This window comes from Homo sapiens, chromosome 17, assembly GCF_000001405.40.
Source record: "Homo sapiens chromosome 17, GRCh38.p14 Primary Assembly".
Classification (NCBI taxonomy): Eukaryota; Metazoa; Chordata; class Mammalia; order Primates; family Hominidae; genus Homo; species Homo sapiens.
Genome location: NC_000017.11, coordinates 45,914,143 through 45,941,291, shown reverse-complemented (window position 1 = coordinate 45,941,291; position 27,149 = coordinate 45,914,143). Strand labels below are relative to the sequence as shown.

Here is a 27,149-nt window from a genome sequence, read left to right as displayed (position 1 = left end):
AAAGTGGGGGAATTTTATAGAATGTGAATGATCATCTCAATAAAGATGTCTTTTAAAAGTTGCAAAGGAGACTCAAACTTAAATTTATTTTCTTTTGCTAATCTAAAAATAGAGATGCCCTTCAGTTTTCCCGTAGGTAGGAGTTGTGGCCTCCCAGCTGGCCTGCAGAAGCTGGTTTGGTCAGGCCTCAGCCTCTCCGGTCTCCTGTTTTCCAACAGGAGCCCTCTGGCTGGCTAGAACAAGGAAAAAGCAATTGACTCGAGGAACTCCTTGTACACAAGTCTCCTCTCTGCTTGCCAATCTGGCTTTGGCTCAACCCTCATCACTGGGGAGAGTTTGTGTTAAAGCACCAAGATGGCTTCCTATTGTTTATGCAATCTCAGAAGCTTTTGGAAAGGACTTTAAAGAAAAAAGCCCCTTGATAGCACCTAAAGTGGTTACCTAGCTCTTCTGGAATCCTTCCAATGACAGGGAGCTCATTACCTCTTAAGGGGGCTCATTCTATTTTCATCCTCTGAGTGACAGAAAATTTTTCTGTCTATAGCTAGAAACTGTGTCCCTGAGACTTTGGCAAATGGGTCCTGCTCAGTGCCCTGGAGCCACACAGAACATGCCAGTTCTTCATCCCAGGGGGCCCTTCACAGATTCAACTATCCCATATCCCCTGTCGTCTCCTCTTCAAGCTGAACATGCCCAACTCCTCCAACTATTCCTTACCTGGGCTGGATGGGCCACAGACTCGAGTATCAGAATGAACTCTAGGCTCTGGTAACAGCAATCATGACAACGATGACATCATTTGAGTGCTTACTCTGTGTAGCCACTTGGGATAATTCAACACATCCTCACTACGCCCTATGGGGTAGATTCTGTCCAGATTCCCCAACTCACAGATGAGGACTCTGAAGCACAGACAGGTGAAGTAACTTGCCCAAGGACACACAGCTTGTCAGTGGTGAAACCAGGATTCAGACAAGATTGGGCAGGTTCAGGATGGAATGGCTGTAGACAAAGCTAGTGTTTAAGCCAAAGGCAGGAGGACATTTCACGGAAGACACCCAGATTAACGCAGAAAACAGTTGCTTTCCAAAGCATCAAATCCATGCATTTGATATTGCAGGTCAAATGCAGTTCTCTGTTTACTTAGAAAATGGCATTCTCTGCCATAAAAATAGAAAGCTTGTAGTATATAGGCTGTCTTTGTCCCCTTTAATAGATTTTACTACTCTCTTTTCTTTTTGAGTCCCCAGTACAATTCTAGGGCATTGCATTTGTGCTTCCGAAAGTAGTGGGGAGGGGGTAATTATCTGATTCCTTTAAGCTACACAAACGATGAGCAAAAATATGCTAAAGTGAGTTAGGTCACTAAGTACATGTCTCTCCACAGAAGGAACATAAGAATGTCAGAATCTGTAACATGCTCAGAGGGAACACGTTACGTCAAGAGAGCCCCCCAGCCAGTGCAGGTCATATATGAAATCCCAGGTTCTCCTCAGACGTAGCCCCAAGGACACTGGAGAGTGGCTGTTCCTGCTCTGTGACTTGGTCCTCGACGCTCAGGCTGAAGTCACATCACACACATGATTATCTGTTATGGATCTGCCACCTACACTTCAACTCCTCAGTTCAAGAGAAAGAGCGAGTAATTAGAAACCTCCTCGTAAAAGCCCATTTACAATTCAGGAGCACTGCAATTTCCTTTCCATCCTTGCAGCTTATCATTTGCATAGCACTTTCCAGGGAGCCATGAAATATGGATTTATAAGAAGCATCCAAAGGACAACAAACATCTAAACACCTCAATCCAGTGATTTACAGGCATGTGCTAGGCAAAAAAACAAAAAACAAAATGAGATAAGATGCTGCAACACTGCTGCTAAAGGAGCTGATTAGGAAAATCTGATAAGATATCAAGTTCAATGTGACCAAGGGTATTAGCAAATATGACCCGGGTTACTTGTATCCTCATTTAGTTACTCATCCCACCTCTTCCAGATCTTGTTGTAAAGTATTAATTATTAAATCTTCTCTTAAGGCCGAGTGCAGTGGCTCATGCTGTAATCCCAGCACTTTGGGAGACCAAGGTGGGAGGTTTGCTTGAGCCCAGGAGTTCAAGACCAGCCTAGACAAAATGGTAAAACCCCATCTCTACAAAAAAAATATTTAAAAATTAGCTGGGGCCGGGCATGTTGGCTTACACCTGTAATCCCAGCACTTTGAGAGGCTGAGGTTGGTGGATCACTTGAGATCAGGAGTTTGAGACCAGCCTGGCCAACATGGTGAAACCCCATCTTTACTAAAAATACAAAAATTAGTCGGGCGTGGTGGTGCACACCTGTAGTCCCAGCTCCTTGGGAGGCTGAGGCACAAGAATCACTTGAACCCAGGAGGCGGAGGTTGCTGTGAGCTGAGATTGCACCACTGCACACCAGCCTGGGTGACTGAGTGAGACTCTGTCTCAAAAAAAAAAAAAAAAAAAAATTAGCTGGGCATGGGGGCTCACCCCTGTAGTTCCAGCTACTAGGGAAGCTGAGGTGGGAGGATCACCTGAGCCCAGAGACGTCGAGGCTGCAGTGAGCTGTGATCATACCACTGCACTCCAGCCTGAACCATAGAGTGAGACCTTGTCTCAAGAGGAAAAAAAAATCTTAATTAAAAAAATGAATTTTCATGTAAAGTAGCCTTTCAGAGACAGGCTCGTCCTAATCCCCAGAACCTGTGAATATGTCACTGTACATGGCAAAGAGGAATTGGGGTTGTAGATGGAATTAAGGTTCCCAGTCAGCTGACTCTAAAATAGAGAGATCATCCCAGATTATCAGAGTGAGCCCAAAGTAATCATGAGGGTCCTGACATGTGGAAGAGGGAGGCAGAGAACTGGTGTCAGAGCAAGGTGATGTGAGGACTCATCCTGCCATTGCTGGCTTTGAAGATGATTGATGGAAAATTTTTCTGACTATAGCTATAGAAGATCATGAGCCAAGGAATGCATGAAACCTTTAGAAGCTGGAAAAAGGAAGAAAATGGATTCTCCCCTGGACCCTCCAGAAAGGACCGCAACCTTGCCAAAACCTTGATTTCAGCCCAGTGACACCTATGGAGGGCTTCTGGCCTCCAGAACTGTAAGGTAATACATTTGTGTTGGTTTAAGCCACTAAATTTCTGATGATTTATTATAGCAGCAAATAGAAAATTAATACAGTTGATTTCATTAATGTGGACTAGTACTTTAATGACAACTTGATTTGGGGGAAAGGAAGGAAAGAAATGGACCTGGATGGCGCACCTGCTGTGTGGCCGCATCATGAAAGACTGAGCCATTTACCACCCTTGGTCCCCCAAGCCTGCCCAGTAAGGTGGGTATGGCAGCACCCACTTGCAGCAGATGGCTCTGAGAATGTCCAAGAGGCTAGGGTGCTTGTCTAAGTCCTCAGCTGGGAAAGTGGCAGGGCCAGGATTGGAGTCAGATTTGTTTGCCTCCAGAGTGCTTTCTATTTAGGGGCAGCCTTCCTTTCTTTATGCTCAAGCAAAATGGTACAAAAGCCCACAGAGCATGTGTTATCTGGTTGTGCACACTGAGGGCCCCAGAATGACGGCCGCCTCCTCTCCCCACACTCTTCTGGGCTTTCCCTTCCCTTCTTTTTTTTTTTTCTTTTCTTTTCTTTCTCTCTCTCTCCTTTCTTTTTTTTTTTCTTTTTTTGAGATAGGGTCTCAGCTCTGTTGCCCAGGCTGGAGTGCAGTGGTGCAATCACAGCTTACTGTAACCTCAAACTCTTGGGCTCAAGCAATCCTCCCACCTCATCCTCCCAAGTAGCTAGGACTACAGGTGCCCACCACCACACCCAGCTAATTACATTTTTTCTTTTTGTAGAGATAGGGTCTTGCTACATTGCCCAGGCTGGTCTCAAACTCCTGACCTCAAATGATCCTCCTGCCTCAGCCTCCCAAAGTGCTAGGATTGCAGGCATGAGCCACTGTTTCTGGACCCCTCCCCTCCCTTCTCTCCCCTGTCAGCACCTACTAGCTTCCTAGAGAAAGTGGGGATGGAGACCAGGGCAGAGGTGAGAGGGGGCCTCTCCTTTCACAGCTCTGGTACTTCTATGGCTCCAACCTCTGCACAGTGCAACAGTGGGGGTACAAAGATAGGAGAGCAGTGCACATTGGCCTGTGCTGGAGGGGAGTCAGACTCCTCAAATGTGCGCCACACTGAAGACAGCTAACTGACGAGCTCTCATATCGCATACATATTTGCAGACTCTGAGTAGGCGTGGGACGGGGAGTGGGGAGCTCCTTTACCACTTTGAGCCATGAATCAGACAGAAGAGCCATCCTCTCCCAGGTGGAGAGAGATGGAATGGGACTTTGCACACTGCTCTATGTCCCTGGGCATGCACACTGTGTGTATTTGGGAGGCATATGTGGCTCTCATAGCCTCCTGGGTGTTCAGGAACACACCTGCGGTTGGCCTGAAACAGAAGAAGGCTTTGGAAGATGTCCAGATGTGGATCGTTAATGACGCCCTTGGGGGAAGGCCTCTGCCTGCTCAAAGGATAGAATCCAGTTAATTAAGAGCAATACTTTGTGCTTAAAAGGCACAAATTCAGACCCGTCCATTAGTCTCTTCAGTTAAGATCACTTTAAATCAAAATTGCCAAGCTGGGGCCACAGGAAGCATCTATTATTAACGAACAAAAAAACTAGACTCCCAAGTGATAGGCTTGCCAATTCCAACACACTCAGGGGTGGATTTGGGAGCTGCTTCAGACATGTCCACTGTGTAATAAAGTTTAGAGCAGCTTTCCATGCTATAAAGCACAGAATGCATTATTGATGCTGTGCTTGGAGGCTACGTGAGTGTCCCATGCCCACGCATGTGCATGTATGTCCTCTAATGCTACAGGCAGCCCCTGGATACCTGTGGGCAGGAGAGTGGGCCAGGAAGGAGAGAACGACACAAACAGGATGGAGCGACCCATTTTCTCAACTCTGGCTGAGCAGTTGGGAAGACCTTGAGGACCAGGCCAGTGGGCAGATTATGAGGAAGGCATGAACTAACCCCCACCAGGGACCTGGAAACAGGAGCAGAGGTGGGCCATGCCCTTGGATATATTCGGTCTGGCCAGGAAGCTATCTGTGCAAATACTGAAGGACACAGGGGTAATTTCAGAGCAAAGTGACCCCTCGGTCAACACAAGTTATGGAACTCTGCCGATCTACCACACGCATGGCTTCATGCTGAGCAAAGGGACAGACAACATGCTCTCTGCCCTCTGGGGGTTGGGTTTGGGAGTGGAGACAAAGAGGTACACACAGTCCAAGGCCATGGGTAAGAAGAGAGAAAGCAGATTGTCCTGAGCCCCAAGTGTCTGTGATTCTCTTAGCTAAGTAAGGAATCAGTGCCAGAGACAGAGGTTGCTGGAGCTGAGAGGAGACGTAGTCAAGAAGATTGGAGAAGGCTCTGCGGAGAAGGTGAACTTGAGCTAAGACTTGAAGGGAGGGCAGGCTTGAAGGGATGAAACAGCCTCCTCTGTGCTAAAGAGAGGAGTGACAGGGCCATCATCAGGCAAAGGGGACATTACCAGGCAAAGGGACACCATTGGTCAAAGGCGATGGTGGAGACAAGACATTCTGGAAGAGCCCGGATCAGAGAGATTTGGGGCCAGGAGCCGGCATCAGGGGACCGGCTCCCTAAGGAACCATGGCACCACTGGCTCTCAGCTGGAAATAAGCAGCAGATGAAGCACATGCATCCTGAGTTTTGGCTCTGGTGATGGTGGTGGAGCTGTTAATTCTTGGAGTCCAAATTCCTGCACCACCTCTGAGTTCCGAGGGGGTGGGGAAGGTAAGTAAATGGACCCCAGCTGCGTGCCTACCTCTGACTGGCTTTCTGGGGTGATCCTTGGACCAGGAGTCCACGGAAGGTTATGTAATGAAGCTGCGAAGAGGCCAGGACTGCATTAGGAAAGGTTGCTGCAGAACAAAGCCTTGTGAGAGAAATTAGGGGGCTGGGGAGGGGAGGAGGGAAGAGAGCAGTTGGGGTGGAGGCTGAGGGAAGAGCCAGCATCCCAGCCCCCAGTAGGGGCTGCCCAGACTCTCCCGAGGGAATGGAAAGGCATCTTTGGAGGGACAATTCTCAGCACACCATTAGCTGTCAAAAGTCAGCAGGCCCTACCATGGTCGATTTTCAAATTCTCATGAGGGGCTCTTGGATATAGCAGCCCTCCCCAGAGAGGGCTACCCTGGGTAGCCACGGACCTTCCCAGTGGCTTGGATATCTTTCCAGCCAGAAAAAGACAAAAACATGCATATAATTACCTAAACAGAAGCGCTTCCTTTGCTTTTCCCAATTATTAACCCGTGGGTATTAAACTCAGTAGGATCAGAGGTCCTTCTAAGAAGCGGGGGGGAAACTCAAAAAGGCCATAGGTCCAGGGTCCACCTTCTGTCTAGCAAGGAAAAGATGATTCCACTTTGCAGACAAGGCAACAGAGAGGCAAGCCCCATGTGCAAAGTCACTCAGCTAGTCAAGGGCAAAGAAGACATGGAATTAGCTACTGCCTCTTAGAGCAGAGTTCTATCCGCTGCACCACCATCTCAGACAGCAGGGTTCAGAATTTTTAAGAAGTGATGGCTTTGCATTGACATGGTTACGTGCGCAAGTCCACGCCTGCATCTGTGCTGACTGCAGTCTCTAACTAGCCAGTGGCTGTCAGCTAGCAAAACTCCAGTGACAGAGGAGCCCGCAGGACATACGTTCTCAACCAAATGGCTGATGATACCATTTGGGCAACTGTCCAGCCAACATTTTTTTAAAGTTAAATTAAAACCCACATGATAAACAACTCTCTGGAAAAAAAAATACACACATGCGTAACTTTGATTCAACATACTGTATTTAAATATCCTAATGACTGCTAATGATTGAAATTTAATTTATTTTTTACTTATTTTTTTGAGGCAGGTCTTGCTCTGTCAGCCAGGCTAGAGGGCAGTGGCGTGAAAATAACTCACTGTAGCCTCAAAGTTCTGGCTCAAGCAATCCTCCCATCTCAGCCTCCCAAGTAGCTAAGACTACAGGTGAATGCTACCATGCCTGGCTAATTTTTAAAATTTACTGTACAGACGAGGTCTTGAACTCCTGGCCTCCAGTGATCCTCCCTCCTCAGAGTCCCAAGGTGCTGGGATTACAGGTGTGAGCTCCTACACCTGGCCCATGACCATAATTTAAAGAAACACATCAAGAGTGCAAAATATAAACAACAAATGGAAGTCTCTTTCTTAATTCAGAGTAGATCAATTGCAGGTAGCTGGAGATGATGATATCATTCTTCTAAGAAAAATCTGCTAGAATTTAACTCAAATCAATTCTCATTTCAACCTTCTCAAATGTAACATTTTATTGCTTGTTATTTTTTAAAAGTAAATGTAACAGCAAAAAAAAAAAAAAAAAATCAGAAAACATTTCAATGTGCAAAGACACGTGGAGCACTGAGAGACCCAGAGCAGCTTCTTCCTGTCTGGGAAGAAGGTCAAGTGACTGGGGACCTAGCAGATGACCTAATCTTCCCTGAACAAATGGCATCGCGTGGCACTGGGCCTCAGTTTCCCCAGTCCCCAAAGGATCGACAGAGATATTCTTTAGCACCACCAGGACAAGGGTCCGGAACACAATGCGGGGGGCCAGGTGAAGGGAGCAGCTGCCTCAGGACAAGTAATAAGGGGCTGGACTGTCTCTAGAGAGTTCAAAAACAGGGCTAGGCACGGTGGCTCACGCCTGTAATCCCAACACTTTGGGAGGTCAAGATGGGCAGATCGCTTGAGGCCAGGAGTTTGAGACCAGCCTGGGCAACATGGTGAAACCCTGCCTCTACTAAAAATACAAAAACTTAGCCTGGTGTGGTGCCCTGTAATCCCAGCTACTCGGGAGGCTGAGGCACGAGAATCACTTGAACTGAGGAGGCAGAGGATGTAGTGAGCTGAGACTGCAGTCACTGCATTCCAGCCTGGGTGACAGAGAGAGAGACTCTGTCTCAAAAAAAAAAAAAAGGGAGAGAGAGAGTTCAAAAACAGTAATAAAACCAACTAATAGTTAGTCTGCTTTTCATTAGCATCATGTGCCTGCAATCCTAAACAATGCCAGTGATAAAATACTCCTCCCTTAAAAAATATTTTCCTGGTCCAAGAGGTTTTTTTTTTTGTTTGTTTGTTTGAAACAGAGTTTCACTCTTGTTGCTGGGGCTAGAGTGCAATGGTGCGATCTTGGCCCACTGCAATCTCCGCCTCCTGGGTTCAAGAGATTCTCCTGCCTCACCCTCCCCAGTAGCTGGGATTACAGGCGTGTACCACCGTGCCTGGCTAATTTTTGTATTTTTAGTAGAGATGGGGTTTCATCATGTTGGTTAGGCTGGTCTCGAACTCCTGACATCAAGTGATCCACCTGCCTCGGCCTCCCAAAGTGTTGGGATTATAGGCATGAGCCACTGCACCCGGCCCTGTCTAAGTTATAAACAATTGGTGCGATCTCAGTGTTAGTAAGGTTCTAGTTAGCACTTTAAAAAAGTTAACCTTTAATAAACTTTTTTTTCTCCACAGAAGTTATTTGGAGAACTTCTAGTTATACAGTTGGCCCTACCATATGTGGAGTCAGCCACACGTATTTATTTTGAGAGTAAGTTCTTTTTTTTTTTTTTTTTTTTTGAGATGGAGTCTTACTCTGTCTCCCAGGCTGAAGTGCAATGGTGCAGATAGATCTCGGCTCACTGCAACCTCCACCTCTCAGGTGCAAGCGATTCTCCTGCCTCAGCCTCCCGAGTAGCTGGGATTACAGGCACCCACCATCATGCCTGGCTAATTTTTGTATTTTTGTAGAGATGAAGTTTCACCATGTTGGCCAGGCTGGTCTTGAACTCCTGACCTCAGATGATCTGCCTGCCTCAGCCTCCCAAAGTCCTGGGATTACAGGCGTGAGCCACCGTGCCTGGCAGAGAGTAAATTCTTAATGGTTCAGAATTTCCAGCTTGCTTCTGGCGCCATTTGCATTTTCCATCTCTGTGAGAACACATGTTCCTGCATTAAGCAAGTAGATTCTAAGCACAGACAATGGTAGGACAGTGATTATGAAGACAGAAATTGGAGCTAAGTTACTTCAGTCCTGTCATTCTGTGCGACCACCTGGAGTTTTTGTGTTTCTTTTTTTTTTTTCTTTTTTTGAGACAGGGTCTCAATCTGTCACCCAGGCTGGAGTGCAGTGGTGCAATCTTGCCTCACTGCAACCTCTGTCCCCCAGGGTTCAAGTGATCCTCCTATCTCAGCCTCCTGAGTAGCTGGGACCGCAGGCATGTGCCACCACACCCAGCTAATTGTTTTCAGTAGAGACAGGATCTCACTATGTTGCCCAGGCAAATCTTGAACTCCTGAACTCAAGCGATATGCCTGCCTCAGCCTCCCAAAGTACTGGGATTACAGGTGTGAGCCACCACACCCAGCCTACTTGGAGTTTTTGTATTTAAAATTTAAAACAGTGAGACAGCATGTGAACCACAAACTGTAATATTTTTGCTTGGTAAATACAAATTTTACTCATAGATGATATATTTTGCTGAGTTTAAATACCATTTTAAGTGGAAATTTATTATTTTAAAATTGTGAATTATATTGTTTAAATAATTAATCAAGAAAATAAAGCCGTACATCAATGGTACAATACAGTAGCTGCTAAATTATGGGCAACTTCTGCAGACGTCTCACTTTTCTTAAAGTTCACTTAGTAACCAAGCAATGATTTACATAAAATATTACATCAGTCTGCAATCAAAGGATCAAAACTCAGAAAGATATAGAAAGCTATTTAATAAATGCTTGTGCTTTTTCCCTTTTTTGTAGTATAATATTTACTTTTTATTTGAAAAAAATCCTGGTGCAATTATATGTACAGAGTTCAACAAGAGAAACATTTTACTATCTGCGTTTCTTTTCTGGCCATTATTACAGTCATTTCATTACACGATTATTTCTGACAATCATTTTGTCATATATAGGTGAGGTTGTTAAACAAAGGTCAGCGCTGGGTGTCAAATGGCTGGCTACACCACTGTTCCATAACATGGCACACGATGGCTGAGAAACCCCTTCAACATCAGCCAGTCTCAATCACCCATAGATCTGCAAGAGAATGAGGATGACTTTTCCCCCAGACCATCAATTTCCCTGTTAATGACAATGCCCGTTTCTCTCAGGACAACTTCATGCAGCAGCCACAGTGACAGCAAATTCTAGGATGTGAAGCTCAATAATACGAAGGTTTGCAGTGACTTCTTGGGGCCGGGATGTGACATCCAGGCAGGACCCACAGAAGATGGTGCTCCTGGCAGGTCTGGCCCCCACTCAGCCCCGGAAACAGAGGCCGGCCCTTGCAGCAGCGACAGCGTGTAGTCCCCGCAGCCATGACCTATTCCTGGTCTACAAGTGGGGACTGGGCAGCCATGACAAAGCAAAAATAAGTGAACTGGGAGTGAGCTCAGGCTAGAAAAATTTCTGAACGGCGTTCACCTTTTTTCAGGGGATGACAGGCAGGTGTCATGGATAGATGAAGGGTCTAATCTTAGAAATTAAAAAATTAAGCAGGAGGTAGTGAAAAGAACACAAGCTTTGGAGCTGGAAGATTTGGGTTCAAATTCTGTTTCTGTAATTTACTGGCTGTGTGGCCTGGGACAAGTGACTTAACCATTCTGAGTCTCAGTTTTCTTATTTGTAATGTGAGGATATAATCCCACTTCTTCCGGCTGTCCTGCCATGAAGCAAAATCATGTCTGTTTGTTCTCCAGGAACCTGATATCATTTTAGTCTCTCTCCTTTAGCTTTCCTTTTCTTTTTTTTTTTTTTTTTGGAGACAGAATCTTGCTCTGTCACCCAGGCTGGAATGCAGTAGTGCGATCTCGGCTCACTGCAACCTCTACCTCCCAGGTTCAAGAGATTCTTGTGCCTCAGCCTCTTGAGTAGCTGGTACCACAGGTGCATGCCACCATACCCGGCTAATTTTTGTTTTGTTTTGTTTTTGTAGAGACAAGGTTTCACCATGTTGGCCAGGCTGGTCTTGAACTCCTGGCATCGAGTGATCAATCTGTCTTGGCCTCCCAAAGTGCTGGGATTACAGGCATGAGCCACCGCACCCATCTTCCTTTAGTTTTCAGTAACAACATAAAATATTCTATAGGGACAGAGCCAAAGCATGGTGGGGCTTATGCACCCCTTCTCAGAGCTGGCTTGGTGGTCAGGCCCAGAAACTTCCCTAGGAATGCAGGTAGGCAAAACCTTACCCAGGAAGGAACTTGGCTTGCCAGAGGGTGGATATTGCAGGAACTGGATACCCATTATCTGCTCCCCTGGGAGCCTGAACTTCAGGGATCCACTAACAGCAAACAAAGGTTAACAGCACACAACGGCCAGGCAATCCTGGCATTTTTAAATAAACATGTGCAAGTTGTGGGTAATGAAGAATAAATCATCAGAACATTCTATACTTCAGAAGTAGAAAACTGGATTACAGATGAAAGAGAATAACAAGGAAAGAAGAAAGGTCTAAGCTGTTATTTAAAACAACAATAACAACAACAAAAGTTTTGTTTTTGCTTAGTGGTGGGGCCAGCATTTACTGAGCTCTTCTTGTATATTCCTACTAAACAGGACACAAGCCTGGCGATGATGACCATTTTTATCATCACCTGGGGAAAGACTACTCAGAGCAAAGTAGAGTCAACACAGGATACATTCCTGTCAAAGGGTTCTTTGTGACATTGTTTGAGTGACTGGATCCAGCTGTACCTAAGCTGGGTCTATTCCTGAATTTTTCAAATTTGGGAACCAATCAATTATATTATATAAATAACCAATTTCTTTGGGCTTCTATTACTTGCAATTGAAAGACAAACATATCCTAACTAGCCCTGAAACCATTAACTGCCTATTTGTGCTCCATCACCTAATGTGACTTTTCCTTGCCTGTGTAATGAGTATAATTACACCCTGCCCAGGCACTGGGCTTGCCCCATGTAAGGTGTATGACAGAGCTTGATTGAAATGAAACATGAAATTTCATGAAATATGAAATTAACATATTTTTACCTAGGAAAATATCCTTACCATCCTATCTTCTAGGGAGGCTTAGGGAGATTAATTTTTTGGGGTTTATTTATTCATTAAAAAAAAGTTTTAAATGTGAAGCACAAGGCAGATCAGTGGTTCTCAAGCTGATGCAACAGAATTCTCTGCAGTGCTTTAAAAATATATCCACTGATGGCCGGGTGCAGTGGCTCATGCCTGTAATCCCAGCACTCTGGGAGGCTGATGAGGCAGGCAGATCATGAGGTCAGGAGATCGAGACCATCCTGGCTAACACGGTGAAACCCCATCTCTACTAAAAACACAAAAAAATTAGCTGGGCGTGGTGGCGAGCACTTGTAGTTCCAGCCACTCAGGAGGCTGAGGCAGGAGAATGGTGTGAACCCGAGAGGCGGAGCTTGCAGTGAGCCAAGATCGCGCCACTGCACTCCAGCCTGGGTGACAGAGCAAAACTCTGTCTCAAAAAACAAACAAACAAACAAACAAAATATATATATGTATATATAACTCCACTGATGTCTGGCCCTACCCCAGGGATTTGGATCCAATTGGCCTAGGGTGGAGTCTTGCATTGTGGCTTTAAAAGCTCCTCAGGTGATTCTAATGTGTAGTTAAGGTAGGCAGCCAGAGTGCAGGTGACCACAGCAATGAGTGACATAGGTACAGTGGTACGGTCCTTGCCCTTGTGCAGGTGCCTTGTGGGGAAGGCAGTGGAAAATGAAGTGAGACAAGTACCACAAAGTCATAGGAGTGTAGATGGGACACCTGTGTAGTGTGGGTGTTGGAGAAAACTTCCCCAAGGAAGTGATGTTTCTGCTGAGACCTGAAGGATGGGCACAAGTTAGCAAGGTGAAAGGGAGGGGATAGGAAAGAACATTCCAGGGGAATAGTATATGACAAGGCCCCAACAGAAAACTGTAAAGAGTTTTCAAGGAACTAAAAGATGACTCCTAAGGCTGGAAGATGAGGTGGTGCCAGATGTGTGAAGCCACAAGAATTTGGGATCTTGTTTGTCACTGCAGCATAAACCTGTCCTTGTTAACTGAGACAACTGGTTAGAGTAGAAAGATCGGGGCTGAGTCCTGGCTGGATTCCAGTAACAGGGACATGTTGGGAGGAGATGGAGTTGCCAAAGTGCTGAGGATGCTTTTTTTTTTTTTTTTTTTTTTTTTCCTGAGACGGAGTCTCACTCTGTCACCCAGGCTGGAGTGCAGTGGCGCCATCTCGGCTCACTGCAACCTCCGCCTACCAGGTTCACGCCATTCTCCTGCCTCAGCCTCCCGAGTAGCTGGGACTACAGGCACCTGCCACCACTCCCGGCTACTTTTTTGTATTTTTAGTAGAGATGGGGTTTCACCATGTTAGCCAGGATGGTCTCGATCTCCTGACCTTGTGATCCACCCACCTTGGCCTCCCAAAGTGCTGGAATTACAGGCGTGAGTCACCGCGCCTGGCCTAGGATGCTTTTAAAAAAATCTGGCTGGGAAAAGGAGAAGAGAGCTAGGGTGGTTGACTGAAGGGGGTATGTTTTGTTTTGTTGTAAAGAGGGGAATTATTTAAACTTTCTACATGCTGGCAAAGAAGACAGGAGAGGGAAAAGAAAAAGCTAAGCACCGTTCCTGAGACAGTGGGAGAGGTGGAGATATGGGATCCAGACATAGGGTCATGGAGGCCTGGCCTTAGTAGAGTCACCCAAGATTGCTGCCAGAGAGGTGCCCAGGGTGGACTTTGGCCGTGAATAGAACCATGCTGAATTAGCACACCTGAAACGCTGACTCTGGGCCTCCCACACTTGGGTCAGCAGAGCAAACCACTTTGACCCTGGGAGTCTTGACTTCTGCTTCTTCCATCCTAAGTCAACCACACCTCAGCGACTACCCCCTTCCCCAACATCTAAGGACTACTGGCCCACAACAGAAAAGAAATGAAATTGCCAAATCACATTGTTTAGATTTTCAGCATTCCAATGGAGGGCTTGGGGTAGACTGGCATGCCTTCTTCCTCCAATTTTTTGTTTTGAAAATTTTCAAACTTAAGAAAAGTTGCACAAATAATACAATAAATACCATATTCCCTTCACCTAGACTCACCAATCTTTAACTTGGCAACATTTGCACTCTCTGCATATATAATTATATAAAAATACATGTATGTATGTGTGTGTGTATATATATGTGTATGTGTGTGTATATATATACACATATATGTATATATATACACATATATGTATATATATGTGTATATATGTGTATATATATACACACATACATACACACACTCATACCACACACGTACTTTTTTCCTGAGCTATTTGAGAATTTGCTGCAGACATCATGATACTGCACCCTTAAGAAATTTCCTGGGGGAAGTAATGTTTCTGCTGGAACCTGGATGATGATAAGTTAGCAAGATAAAAGGGTGGGCATAGAAAAGCCTGTCTCCAAAGAAAAAGTCCATTCCCTCCAGAACCATCACACCACACACTCTGATACTATTATAAGTCCATATGTGAATTTCTCTAATTGTCCAATAATGTCTCTTATAGATTTTTAAAAATTTGAGGGCTGGGTACAGTGGCTCATGCTGGTAACCCCAGCACTTCGGGAGGCCGAGGTGGGAGGATAGCTTGAGCCCAGGAGTTTGAGACTAGCCTGGGCAACATAGTAAACACCATCTCTAAAAATAAAAAATAAAAAAAATTAGCCAGGTGTGGTGGTATGCACCTGTGGTCCCATCTACTTGGGAGGCTAAGATGGGAGGATCACTTGAGCCCGGGAGGTCAAGTTTGAAGAGAGCCATGATCACGCCACTGTACTCCAGCCTGGGCAACAGAGTGAGACCCTGTCTAAAAATAATAAATGAATAAAATAAATATATAAATAAAAATTTGACCGACAGCTTAGTAAGGATTATATAGTTATGTCTGCTACTGTTTAAAAAGGCTTTTCTTTTTTTTTTTTCTTTGACATAGAGTCTTACTCTGTTGCCCAGACTAGAGTGCAGTGGCACGATCTTGGCTCACTGCAACCTCCACCTCCTGGGTTCAAGCAATTCTCATGCCTCAGCCTCCCAAGTAGCTGGGATTACAGATGTGTGCCACCACACATGGCTAATTTTTTTATTTTTAGTAGAGATGGGGTTTCACCATGTTGGCCAGGCTGGTCTCGAACTCCTGGGCTCAAGTGATCTGACTGCCTCAGCCTCCCAAAGTGGTGCTATTACAGGTGTGAGCCACCTCGCCTGACCTAAAAACACTTTTCAGCTCCAATTTTAAACTTAAAATTTTTCTTATTTTAAAAACAACATATGCATGTATTATCAAATACAGGAAAATATGAAGAGACAGAAGTACTTACTGATCATAATCCTACCACCAGAGACATCACTATGAATATGTTTGTACATTTTTTTCCTGTGCATTCTAAAACATAGTTAAGATTATGCTAAATATACAGTTCTCATGCTCTTTTATGTCAGAAGTGTTTTCCCATGACATTTTAAACCCCATAGACATAATTTTCTAATGGCTACATACTATTCTATCTAACCATTTCCAGAGGTTGGATATTTATCCAGCTTCTGAGACTTCCTGTTATAAAACAACACTTTGATGAACATCTTGGTACATAAATCTTTTGCATGTGACTACTTCCTTAGGACAGATTCCTAGAAGTGAAATTCTGGGTCAAAGAGTAGTAATATTTTAAAGGCTGTTTATGCATACTGACAAGCTGCTTCCTGGCAATTTGTCCAAACTTTTACTCTGACTAGCATTGTATGGGAGCTTCCCTGAGTGAATGCTGCCTTTGAAGTGGGGTCAGAGACTGAGGACCAAGGGGCACAGAGAAAGAAGAGTGTGGTCCTCGATGGGAGGACCCATCACAAACCGTCTTGCACAGTGTAAACCCTGGAGAGGGGCTGAAGAAACCACTGCAGCCCGGGGCCGCCCATTCTACCTGGCCCATGGTAGGCACTCAAGAAATGGTTTGCTACGTGAATAAACAAATCCACAAACATATATTTCTGAATTCCTATCATGCGTCAAACACAAGAGATAGGGAGAGAGGAGGAAAAGAAAAGCAAGGGATCATGGGATAAAAGGGGACAGTGGCAGTGGGGTGGACAGAAGTCAGAACTAAATTTACCTCATGCTTTAATTCGGCGAGTTTTCTTAGAATAGTCTGACCATTGCTTACGTTGAGGGTCTATAGTCCTCCCTTCCCCACAAGACAAAGTCCAACCTAATTCAGCACCAAGATCCAAGCAGCTTGGAAGATACAGGAGGGAAAATTCTGGTGTAGATTAAGTGCCACCCCCCAGCAATGGCCAGGACACAGCAGCAATGTTACCTAAGAAAGCAACTGCGCCTCTTGCTGATCAGCTAGACATGAGGGCAGTGTCCTACCTCAGCGGTTTGCAGCGGACATGCTGTCAGGCCATTGGGATAGTTCCCATAAGCCACTCCTGGTTGTCACCACTATTCCAAGTGGGCAGGAGCAGCCTTATTGACTGAGATGGGCGGCTATGGACACACATGGGTGTACGCATGTGATGGAAATGGGGGCTTGGGGCCCTGAGGGTCCACAGGGGCTGCGTGGTCAGGGAGGGTGGGCATGGCATCACAGGCACCCCAGGGGAGAAGCTGGCTTTCTTCCCATACTTTTGGCACTGTTTTCTGTTTTGTTTGCCTTCAAAGAGCAAGTGATGGCTGGACAGCAAAGAGGAGTGGAGGCCGGGAGAATGGGCAGCTAGCCCAGCGCTCTCCAATATCTGGGAGTCGACCGCACTCCTGCACTCCCTGTCATCCCTGCTAATGGTGAGGAACTGAGCAAAAGAGCCTCCAGAGTGACAGGTGACTTAAAGCGCACGTGGCTCTACATTTACAATTGAAGTGGGCTTTGGAGATTGCAGATTCTGAATACCTGCTGGGGTGGTACAGAGGCTGTGTTCTGGTTTTGCCATCTTGGACAGGGGGTTGGGAGTCTGGGGGGCTGCCTTCTCTCCTCTTCGTGCAGCTCTGCTGGGGCCTGTCTCACACTTGTGAGCAGAGTTATGGCTGGATTCCAGGGGAGACAGAGCTTGGTTGTGAAATGTAAGGTTGTGAAATGAAGGGCTTGTGAAATGAACAAAGAATGTATTTAAGGGTCTTTCATTTTAAATCGAACACTTACATAGCACTTACTACTTGCAAAGCTCCACTCTAAGCACTTTACCCATCTTAATTCATTTAATTCTCTTCTCAACCCTAAAAAGCAGGTATTACCATTGCTCCAATCTTACAGATGAGGAAACTCAGGCATGGAGAGGTTGAGCGACTTGCCCAAATTCATGCAGTTAGGACCTGGCAGAGCTGCGCTTTGAACCCAGGCTGCCTGGCTCTAGAGTGTGTGCACGAAACTTCACTGCCATATGAACAAAACTGCAGGACATATGTTCTCAAAGCAAATAAGCCTCCCAGAGGTAAGAGTTAGGTTCTGTTTCCCCACTGGTTGTATTATTCAAGAAGGGAGCTATTACTAAAAGCTAAAGTGGGTAGGCCAAGGTCGCATGCAAAGCTGATACTTGCTGAGTCAATGAATAGCTGCATGATGTGCAATGAGGTGGAGAAAGACATTAACGTGAAAGAATCTGATTATCTTTTATGGGAGGAACCCAGAATCACACAGAGCCCTGAGGGCTGGATGGCTCCGGGCATTCCCCCAGTGCCCACAAGTAAATCAGGGACAGCCGGACCCCTTCCAGGGTGCCCTTCCTGGGGGTTGTCTCATGCCCTTGAGTTAGGAGTCAACCCTATGGGATCCTCTGGGAGCCCTCTGCTCTATTGATCCCCAAAACTTTATCCAGACCCTGCATCCCCTTGTTCTGGAAATGGGTCTAGTTCTCTGATTCTCAAAGGCTCCTGGAAGGCAGGGGTTTTGTCTCATTCACATCGAAATCCTTAGTATCTACAGCATCCAGCAGGTGGAGAGAAGGAGAGACTTAGCATTTATTATGTGCCTGTTTCTGGCCAGGAGTCCTACCCCTGCCACCTTACCGAATCTTCACAACACCCCTTAGAGGGCATTCCTCAAAGGGGAAGATATTACCAGCCCCTACTTAGAGATAAGAACATAGGGTCCAAGAGGTTAAGGGGCTTGGCTCAAGGTCACCCAGCTAACGAGTGGCAGAAGAAGACACAAGATGAGTTCTACTCCAGAGTCCAGGCTCTGTCACTCGCCACAGGGCTCCCGGAAGACATTGGTGTTGCTCGGTCTCTCTGACTTGCCCTTTGCTAACTCCTTTAATTATTTTGCTTGACTTGAGTCCTATTCAGGATTTGAGACTGAGTTTAGTTAACACCATTTTTTTTTTGTTTTGTTTCTGGCTCCAGAGGCTTTTCCTGATGGCTTCAAGGACCTGCCCTAGCCTGGTCTGACTTCCCAGAGGGGATCCAGTCCCAACATTGGCCCTATCTTTAGACCACATTTCCATCCCATTCTCAGTGAAAACCCTGAGTCATGACAGAAGACAACCAATGCTGGAGAGAGGAGGTTTCAGGTAATGCCTGTTTTAGGCATCCTCTCCTTTAAGAAAAATTTTTATATCAAGGCACCTCAACATAATAATACCTTTATTGCATATAGGTAGAATATAAAACTGACTTGTAAGACCACTCTGTGTGTGTGTGTGTGTGTGTGTGTGTGTGTGTTCTCTAGCTAGCCTGCAGGGACGGGACTCAGTTCCTCAGCAGCCCAGTGCCTGGCACAACAGGCATTGAATTAGAAGTGCCAGACATTTTCAAACTTTAAGGTATAATTTGTTTGGACACTTTGGCTGGGCATTTTGATAAAACATCCCTAGTTAAAAGATGGCAACCAACAGGCATCAAACCAAAACCACCCTCAAAGAGCAAAATATAAGGCCTTTGTAACAAGAGTCACAGAGTTATGGCTGGCCGCGGTGGCTCATGCCTGTAATCCTAGCACTTCGGGCCGTCTCTATTAAAAACACAAAAATTAGCCAGGTGTGGTGCTGCATGCTTGTAATCCCAGCTACTTGGGAGGCTGAGGAAGGAGAATTGCTTGAACCTGGGAGACAGAGGTTGCAGTGATCGCTCCACGGCACTCCAGCTTCACTGCACTCCAGCCTGGGTGATGGAGGAAAAAAAAAAAGCAAACTCACCGAGTTACAGAATCAGCCATTCTATGGAGCCAGAAAGAGGCGCCTCAGGGAGAATCTGTGACTCAAGAACACTTGCTGAGGGTCCCGGGCTTAGGTGCTTTGAACTTCGCTAAGGGCAGTCTTCTAGTTCTCTGTTCTTCCCTTCCAGGAGGACAACAGTCAGAATACCCCCAAGACGTCCTTCTTTCCCTAAGGTCTCAAAATCCTTGCCTCAAGAAGTTATTCCTGAAGTCTAGCTTGAATTCCTCCAGATAGAGTTTAAACCAGACAAACAGCCTACGAACATGTTACAATATTCAAAAACTTCTAATTTAGTCACCATCACTTGCAAATAGGGATATCTCATGGAAATACGATTTCTGATTTATCTTGAAAAGTCAAGATGATCTGGCCACAATGGGCCTGCACTCCTGTGAGGTGGTATCATTGGCTTGGGGGTCTCACCAGTGCCACCCTGCATGGGGGCACCGGGTGACATGATGCTCGATTGAGCTTTCCCTCCAGGCTGGGTAATCAGAGGCCAGGCCCTGTGTGTCTTCCAGGGGATGCTGTCCTGATCCAGGCTGGTGAGGCAAGGAGGGGCTGCGGCTTCCTGAGCTCTCCGAGCTGCTAATGTGCGTGGGGAATGCTAAGCAGCCTCCAGGCTCTGACCAGGTTTGTCTTCTAGGACCCACTTGCCCAATGGGTGCCAGGACACCAGGTCTGGGTCTGGAGAAGAGAATTCTTCTCCAAGGGATGTTGATGGTCCATTCCGGAAATGAAAGCTTCCCACGGTCTGCCCTGCACCAGGCTTTCATCAGTGAGAAATACCCCGAATTTACACCCAAACCTAAAAGGAGAAGCGTAGAAGTGTTCTTGGCCCAATTCTTTTAATTGCAAGTCCTACTAGCAGGACAACTAAGGGATTATCCCTAAACTTTCATTTAAAAGTCTGGGGAGGGAAGGAAGGAGTAAAAACTTTGGCAGTCAGATTTTTCTCACTTTCACATTTATTCTTTACTATTAATGACTTGTTCATCATGCTGTACAACAATTGTGCAAAGATGCATACGTTTGCCACTATAATTTGCCATTAAAATGTAATAATCAGTAAGTATACACGGCGTGCCAGGTGCTAAACAGCAGATGAGGGGCGAGGTGGGTGAAGGTTCCATGCCGTGAGTTTGTGGCTAATGGAACCCCTCATGCTGCTGCTATCCTTCCTGGGCCCAGCAGTTGGATCCTGCAGGGGTGCCCCACTCTCTCGGGGACCTCAGAAATGTCCTCTATGGTTAGGGACGGCTAAGGAGGGTGTATCTGCAGGATTCCCAGGCACTGGGAGGTGTATAGAGGTCACAGGACCCATACAACCACCCCAGACCTTGTCAGAGTGCTCCAGTCTGGCATCCGCAGAAGGCCAGGGAGGGTCAAGGGGCAGTGCTGAGCCACTGAACACAGCCACAGAGTTGGAGCTGCCAGGCAGAAGGTGCACGGCTCAGCAGAGGAGACCCCTTGAGGCAGCAATGCTGGGGCCGGAGGGTCAAGGCTGAGGAGAAGGCCACCGCAATGCCCTGTGTGGCCCTCATGAGCTGAGGGACCATGGGAAGGTGGCCTAGCCACTCTGAGCCTCAGTTTCCCCGGGAGATAAAAACAGAGACAGTATCTGCAAACTCAACAGGGCATTATGGTGAAGAAATGAGAGGACTCAGGAACATGTTAGCTGTCACAGCCTTAGCCACTGCCAACTCCAGCCAGGCAGCTGGTCAACATTGCCGAGCACCAGCCAGGTGACAGGAGGACAGAGGGCTCGGGGGAAACCAAATCCATCCCCCCAAACAAAAGAAAAACACAAACAAAAATAGGCACCAGAGCCGCCGGACGTGTACAAAGACTGTGTACGTTCTGCCTGTGGACAGAGCCCAGGAAGAGCACCCTGGCTCCTGTGCTCCACGCCTGCAGCTCATCTGGAAGGTTCCCTGTCTATGGCAGCCAGGTACCCAGGCCAGCCTGCAAAGGCCCAGTAACAGAACTTGTGTCTAAGATAGAACTTCATAGCTTTGTGCTGCCAAGCCCACCTGGAGCCCCCTTTAAGCCTTCTTTTGTTTGTTTGTTTGTTTGTTTTGAGACAGGATCTCATTCTGTTACTCAGGCTGGAGTGCTGTGGTGCCAGCATAGCTCACTGCAGCCTCAAACTCCTGGGCACAAGCGATCCTCCCACCTCAGCCTTCTGAGTAGCAGGGACTGCAGGTGCATGCCACCCTGCAAAGCTAATTTTATTTATTTTATTTTTTGTAGAGACGCGGTCTCACTATGTTGCTCAGGTTGGTCTCGAACTCCTGGGCTCAAGTGATCCTCTGCCTTGGCCTCCCAAAGTGCCGGGATTACAGGCATGAGCCACTGCGCCCCAACCCGTTTAAGCCCTTCTGAGCTTTAAACCTCATCTGCCTCCACTCTGCGCCCAGCAGTGGGGGAAGGTAGGGAGGGGAAGGTAGAAACATGTAAAGGAGACAGGGTCATCGGAGCCAGCTCTGGGTGTGAGCTCACCATCTTCCACAAGGCCGTTCGTGGATCCGGCCTGGCGAACTGACCACGGTTCTCCACAGAGTAGGGGCAGGTAAGGGGCTGGGATGAGGCTCTGACCTCTGCAGCGTGAGGATGCCAGGGAGGAGGGCAGGCGGGGGGGGCGCCCCTTCCTCTGGTTATCTGTAGTCCTGGATGCCTCGTGTAAGTGAGAACACAATCGGTCCCAGGAGGACTGTCTCTAGAGGAGGCACCAGGGGCCCGGTGGAGGCAGGAGAGGCCGAGGGGAGGCAGGTAGGGAGCAGGCAGGGCTGAGCGGTGCTGCAGCAACAGGCAGGGTCAGGGAGACGCCAAGACTCCCAGTCCCACAACAAGGTACCACAGACCATATAGCTCATAAACAATAATTTATTTCTTGCAATTCTTTTTCTTTTCTTTTTTTTTTTTTTTATTGAGACAGAGTCTCAGTCTGCTGCCCAGGCTAGAGTGCAGTGGGGCGATCTTGGCTCACTGCAACCTCCACCTCCCGGGCTCAAGCAATTCTTCCACCTCAGCCTCCTGAGTAGCTGGGATTCCAGGCGCACACCACCATGGCCAGCTAATTTTTGTATTTTATTTTAGAAGAGACAGGGTTTCACCATGTTGGCCAGGCTGGTCTCAAATTCCTGACCTCAAGTGATCCGCCGGCCTTGGCCTCCCAAAATGCTGGGATTACAGGCGTGAGCCACCGCACCCAGCCAATGTGAGCCAATTAAACCTCTTTTCTTTATAAATGATCCAGTCTCAGGTAGGTCTTTATAGTAATGTGAGAACAGACTAATACACTAAGAGTCCCTTTGTAACCTTGGAACCCACCTCTGGTTCTACAACCTGCCCTACAGGAAGCTCACTACAGCAGGCATGTTTCCCCTTTGCTTCACACACCACAATGGCAGCTTATCACAGTAGGTGCTCAGCAGTGTGGCTAGGGGCCAGTTGCTGGCTGTGCGCTCTGCTTTATACACACCACTGCTATTCCTTACAGCAGCCCTGAAAGAGAGGTGCTATGATTCCGAACCAGGCTCAGAGAGGTCCAGCTACTTACCCAAGGTCACACAGCTAGTAGGGGGCAGCCAAGATCCAACCCCAGCCAGCCCTCCTCCAAAGCCTGGGCCCTTTCCACCACATCTTACTGGCTCTGCAGAGTGGCAGGAAGAGACAGGTAAATGCATCTCATATCCATTTCTTAAGTAAGGCATAATAACAATAAAATGATTAAAGCAACAGCTGGGGGAAACGCTTCAGTGGCCAAGAACAGACCAGCCAGGTGCAGGGAGAGATGACCAATGACAAGCGCTCTAGCAGTTTTTGTGCTAATAGTGAGATGGACTGACTTTGGAAATGGAAAAGGAAGACAGTGAGAGAGGAAAGGGCCAAAGCAGACAGAAAAATGAAAGATGCTGGCTGGGCATGGTGGCTCATGCCTGTAATCCCAGCACTTTGGGAGGCTGAGGCGGGTGGATCACCTGAGGTCAGGAGTTTGAGACCAGCCTGGCCAACAGAGTGAAACCCCCGTCTCTACTAATAATACAAAAATTAGTCGGGCATGGTGGTGCGCACCTGTAGTCTTGCTGCTCGGGAGGCCGAGACATGAGAATCGCTTGAACCCGGGAGGCGGAGGTTGCAGTGAACTGAGATCGTGCCACTGCACTCCAGCCTGGGTGACAGCAAGGCTCTGTCTTAAAAAAAAAGAAAAAAAAAAAAAGACGCTGGAATCCTCCAGGATCCACAGAGTTCACTTTACGGATGGACCAAAGGGGCTGGCAGTTCTACAGCCCCTTCCCATACAGCATTTGTCATTGGGAACTGTTCCCTCACCCTGGGCAAGAAAAACCTTATTAACTTCACTGATACTTTCCAGCAACAAATGTCGCTTCTGTTATTTAGCATACTGAGGGAAGAGCAAATGGTCCTCTCATGGGCATCAGGAATGCCCATGCCCCCTCCAGGAATTAGTGGATATTCTCTAGGAAAATTTGCATTAGTTTTTAAGCAGGGGCAAAGATAATTCGAATTCAGCCTGGCTGCTTCAGTGGAAGGAAATTTACCTGGACTCAGAGCCTTCTTTAAGAGATGCATGTTTGCTGTTTTTGCTTTTGTTTTGATTTATTTTTCTCCTTGAGGGCAAGTCCTAGTCATCAGCATGAGACAACCCTAGCTCTTATGAGAGGTGACCGACCACTCGACCTTAGCGTTGGTTACTCAGCACAGGCAGATGCGAACCCTGCAAGGCAGAGCTCGCACTCTGCAAAGCAGAATGGTTTATCAAAGACACTGAAGCAAAGACACTGAAGGAGGAGTTGGGCAGGAGGCTGCAGGGAAAGAGTTCTTCTCACTACAGAAGAAAGTGGGAATGTTCTGGAAAGCTGCTGCTGAGGGGACGCATGTGTAAAACAGATCACGTGTTCCCATGACCGAAGTCTGTCATCTGACAGGCCAAGTCTTCATTTCTTGGGATCTCAAATATCGATGCTTCCTGGCCAGACCTCTCCCATGAGATGGCACCTCTGGCCGGGTGAGTCTGAGGGCCCATCTCCAGGTGGCCCAGACACTGGAGGGAGGTGATGTGGGGCACAGAAGGGGATCTGCAGGGGAAGGACACCTGTGCTAGTCCAGCTTTGCCATGAACCTGCTGTGTGACTCTGGGGAGGTTAACTGTACCTCTCTGGGCTTAGTTACCACATTTCTCAAGTGGCTCTGGCATCTGTTAAAATGCCAAACTCGTGGTCCTTAACACCTTGTGATGCTGGCACCTCTCTGCAGACTTTTCTCAATGTAACCTCAGAAGTTGGGGAGGACTGGGGAGAAGGGAGGTCCTGCAGGGAGGAGAAAAGGGAAAGTGGGCAACTCCACTGAAGGCTGTCACACATTTGGGGGCTGTTCCCGACAGTTTTACCTTCCTCTTTGGGCCCCTCCTTTCTCTTCCCTCTCAGTCCCCTTGTCAGATGGTTGATGGGGATCACTGGGAGTTGGGGTGACTGTCAGGAAGGCAGAGAGGGGGTTTGGGCAGCAGGTGGGAAGTGGGGCCAGGTGGCCTCTCGGGGTTCTCCCACCTCACAGTTCTGGGGAGTTCAGGGTTCTGCAAGCAGAGTGATCCTTAATTAATAAACAGCGGGGCAGGCTCGGGCTCCACGTCAGGAAAACTGCAGTCAGCCACGCTGGGCCACCCGCCCTCTGCAGAGCACACGCAACAGCGCAGTCATTAAAGCTGAACTGAGCCCTCTCAGGACCAGTGGGAACATCTCTGAACACTGAAGTTCTGCATCTGAAAGAGAAACCTAGGAATGCCTTGCTGCTTCTCTGGGTGTAGAGACGGCCCCCAAAGAGCAGGGCCCTGGGGCTGCGCTCTCAGTCCCTCCGGGAATGTGGGGATGAGCTGAAAAGCGGGAATTCTGGAGGAACCGGAGACCACCATGGTGGGCTGACTGGGACAGGACTGTGGGCAGGGTGTGAATCCGCCCACGGAAGTTACTCCAGGGGAGACCTCCCTTTCAAACCAGCAGTGCCACCTGGCCCAGAGTGGCTGGGAGGATGAAATGTGGTCATCTGGGTGAAAGCACTAAGAGAAAAGAGAGTGTTCTGGTTGTTTTTGATATAAAAGGATTTGGCATCAAGATCGTCAAATGACATCAGTCAGCCTCACCTCAGGGAACATGTCCACCGAGGTCTCATTGGAAATGCAGGGAACAGGGTGGCTCATGGGCTAGTCTGGGTTGTCACAGACTATGACAAGGAGTAGATACTTCAGCACACTAGCCCACCTCCCTTCTCCTCCTACCCACCCCCTCTGACTCCAGGAGAGCCCTCTAAAGTGCTGTGTTCAGTTACATGCCTTATATATGCTGAACACACACACACTCACACATGCTCACAGACACAATGCACACACACGCTCACACGCCACACACATGCACCACACACACAACACACATGCTCACACACACCACACACAGACACATCACACACACATGCTCACACACCACACACATATCACAACACACCACACATGCTCAAACATACACACTCACACATGCTTACACACCACACACACATCACATGCCCACACACATGCTCATGCACACACCATACACAACTCACACACCACACACACCTCACGTCACACATACACACCACATACTTCACACACACACTACACACACAGACTCACACACGCTCACACAGCACACACCCCCACACCACACACATACACACTCATGCTTACACACCACACACACTCACCCCCATCCCCCCACACTTTGCGCGCACACACACGCACTCCAGTCTCTAACATGACAGGGTTAGGCCAGATCAGAGCTTTTGTGACCAGGGACATTCGTCATGCCTGCCAGCATCACTTGAGGAGCCTTTTAAAAGAACCCTTCTTCCGGATATTTTCATCCTTTCCAAGTGTGCTGATGCCTGAGCGTATACATGCATTTAATCTTTTTTAAAAAGCAATTGGCTGGGCAGGGTGACTCACGTTTTAATCTCAGCCCTTTGGGAGGCTGAGGCAGGAGGATTGCTTGAGTCCAGGAGCTTGAGACCAGCCTGGGCAACATAGAAAAACTCCATCTTGATTAAAAAAAATAGCTGGGCACGGTGGTATGCGTGCCTATAGTCCCAGCTACTCAGGAGGCTGAGGTGGGAGGATTGCTTGAGCCTGGGAGGTTCAGGCTGCAGTGAACCATGATTGTACCACTGCACTCCTGCCTGGGCAACAGAGAGAGACCCTGTCTCAAAAAAAAAAAAAAAGGTAAAAAGTAACATTTAAGCATGGTAATACAAAATTAATAGTAGAGAAATGGAAATGACATCTCCCTTCACCCAGTTTCTCCCCACCAGAGGCCACCACTGAAACTGCATTCTCATTCTTCCTTCCAGAGTTAGGCTATGTCTGTGTGGACTCTGTTGCATGCGCTGGCCTTCCTTGCACGCAGAGGACAGTACACAGTACCTGCCTTGTTCCTCACTGCTTTTCTCACTGACCCACAGGATCTGAGGGGCACCCGCAGCAGTGCAGACGGACCGCTCCATTCCGTCAGAGGCCACACTTATTTCACCAGTTCCATCCTGATGTTTTCCAGACTTCTACATAACAGATGATTCACCAGTGTGTCCCCCCATGGATGCCTCTGCTCACATAGAAAGGGTTAATTCTTGGAAGCTGAGGTGCTGTCAAAGGGCATCTGACAGATCAGCCGCCCTCTGCTCCAGGGGTGTGGTCTTCCTCTCCGACCCATGATGCGTGGCAGCCTGGCTGCCCACACCCTCAGATCCCTGAGCAGCAGTGTCTCGCTGTGGTTTTATCAGCAGTCTTTTTAAATTAATTTTTT

The 27,149-nt window shown here is 47.5% G+C and overlaps 1 protein-coding gene and 1 long non-coding RNA gene across 36 annotated transcripts in view; one reads left to right on the top strand and one right to left on the bottom strand.

Moving 5' to 3' along the window:
* Nucleotides 1–27,149, bottom strand: part of MAPT (microtubule associated protein tau) — a 133,781-nt gene that overhangs the window by 87,043 nt on the left and 19,589 nt on the right. The gene's annotated exons all lie outside the window — the stretch shown is intronic.
* Nucleotides 5,308–20,374, top strand: LOC105371800 (uncharacterized). Of its 7 annotated transcripts, none has more exons than XR_007065818.1 (4): nt 5,308–5,842; nt 16,814–16,933; nt 17,400–17,577; nt 18,488–20,374. It is a non-coding gene; the product is annotated as an uncharacterized LOC105371800 (long non-coding RNA). The 7 variants fall into 7 exon arrangements; XR_007065820.1 differs by having other exon boundaries at nt 17,374–17,577; XR_007065822.1 differs by having other exon boundaries at nt 17,371–17,577.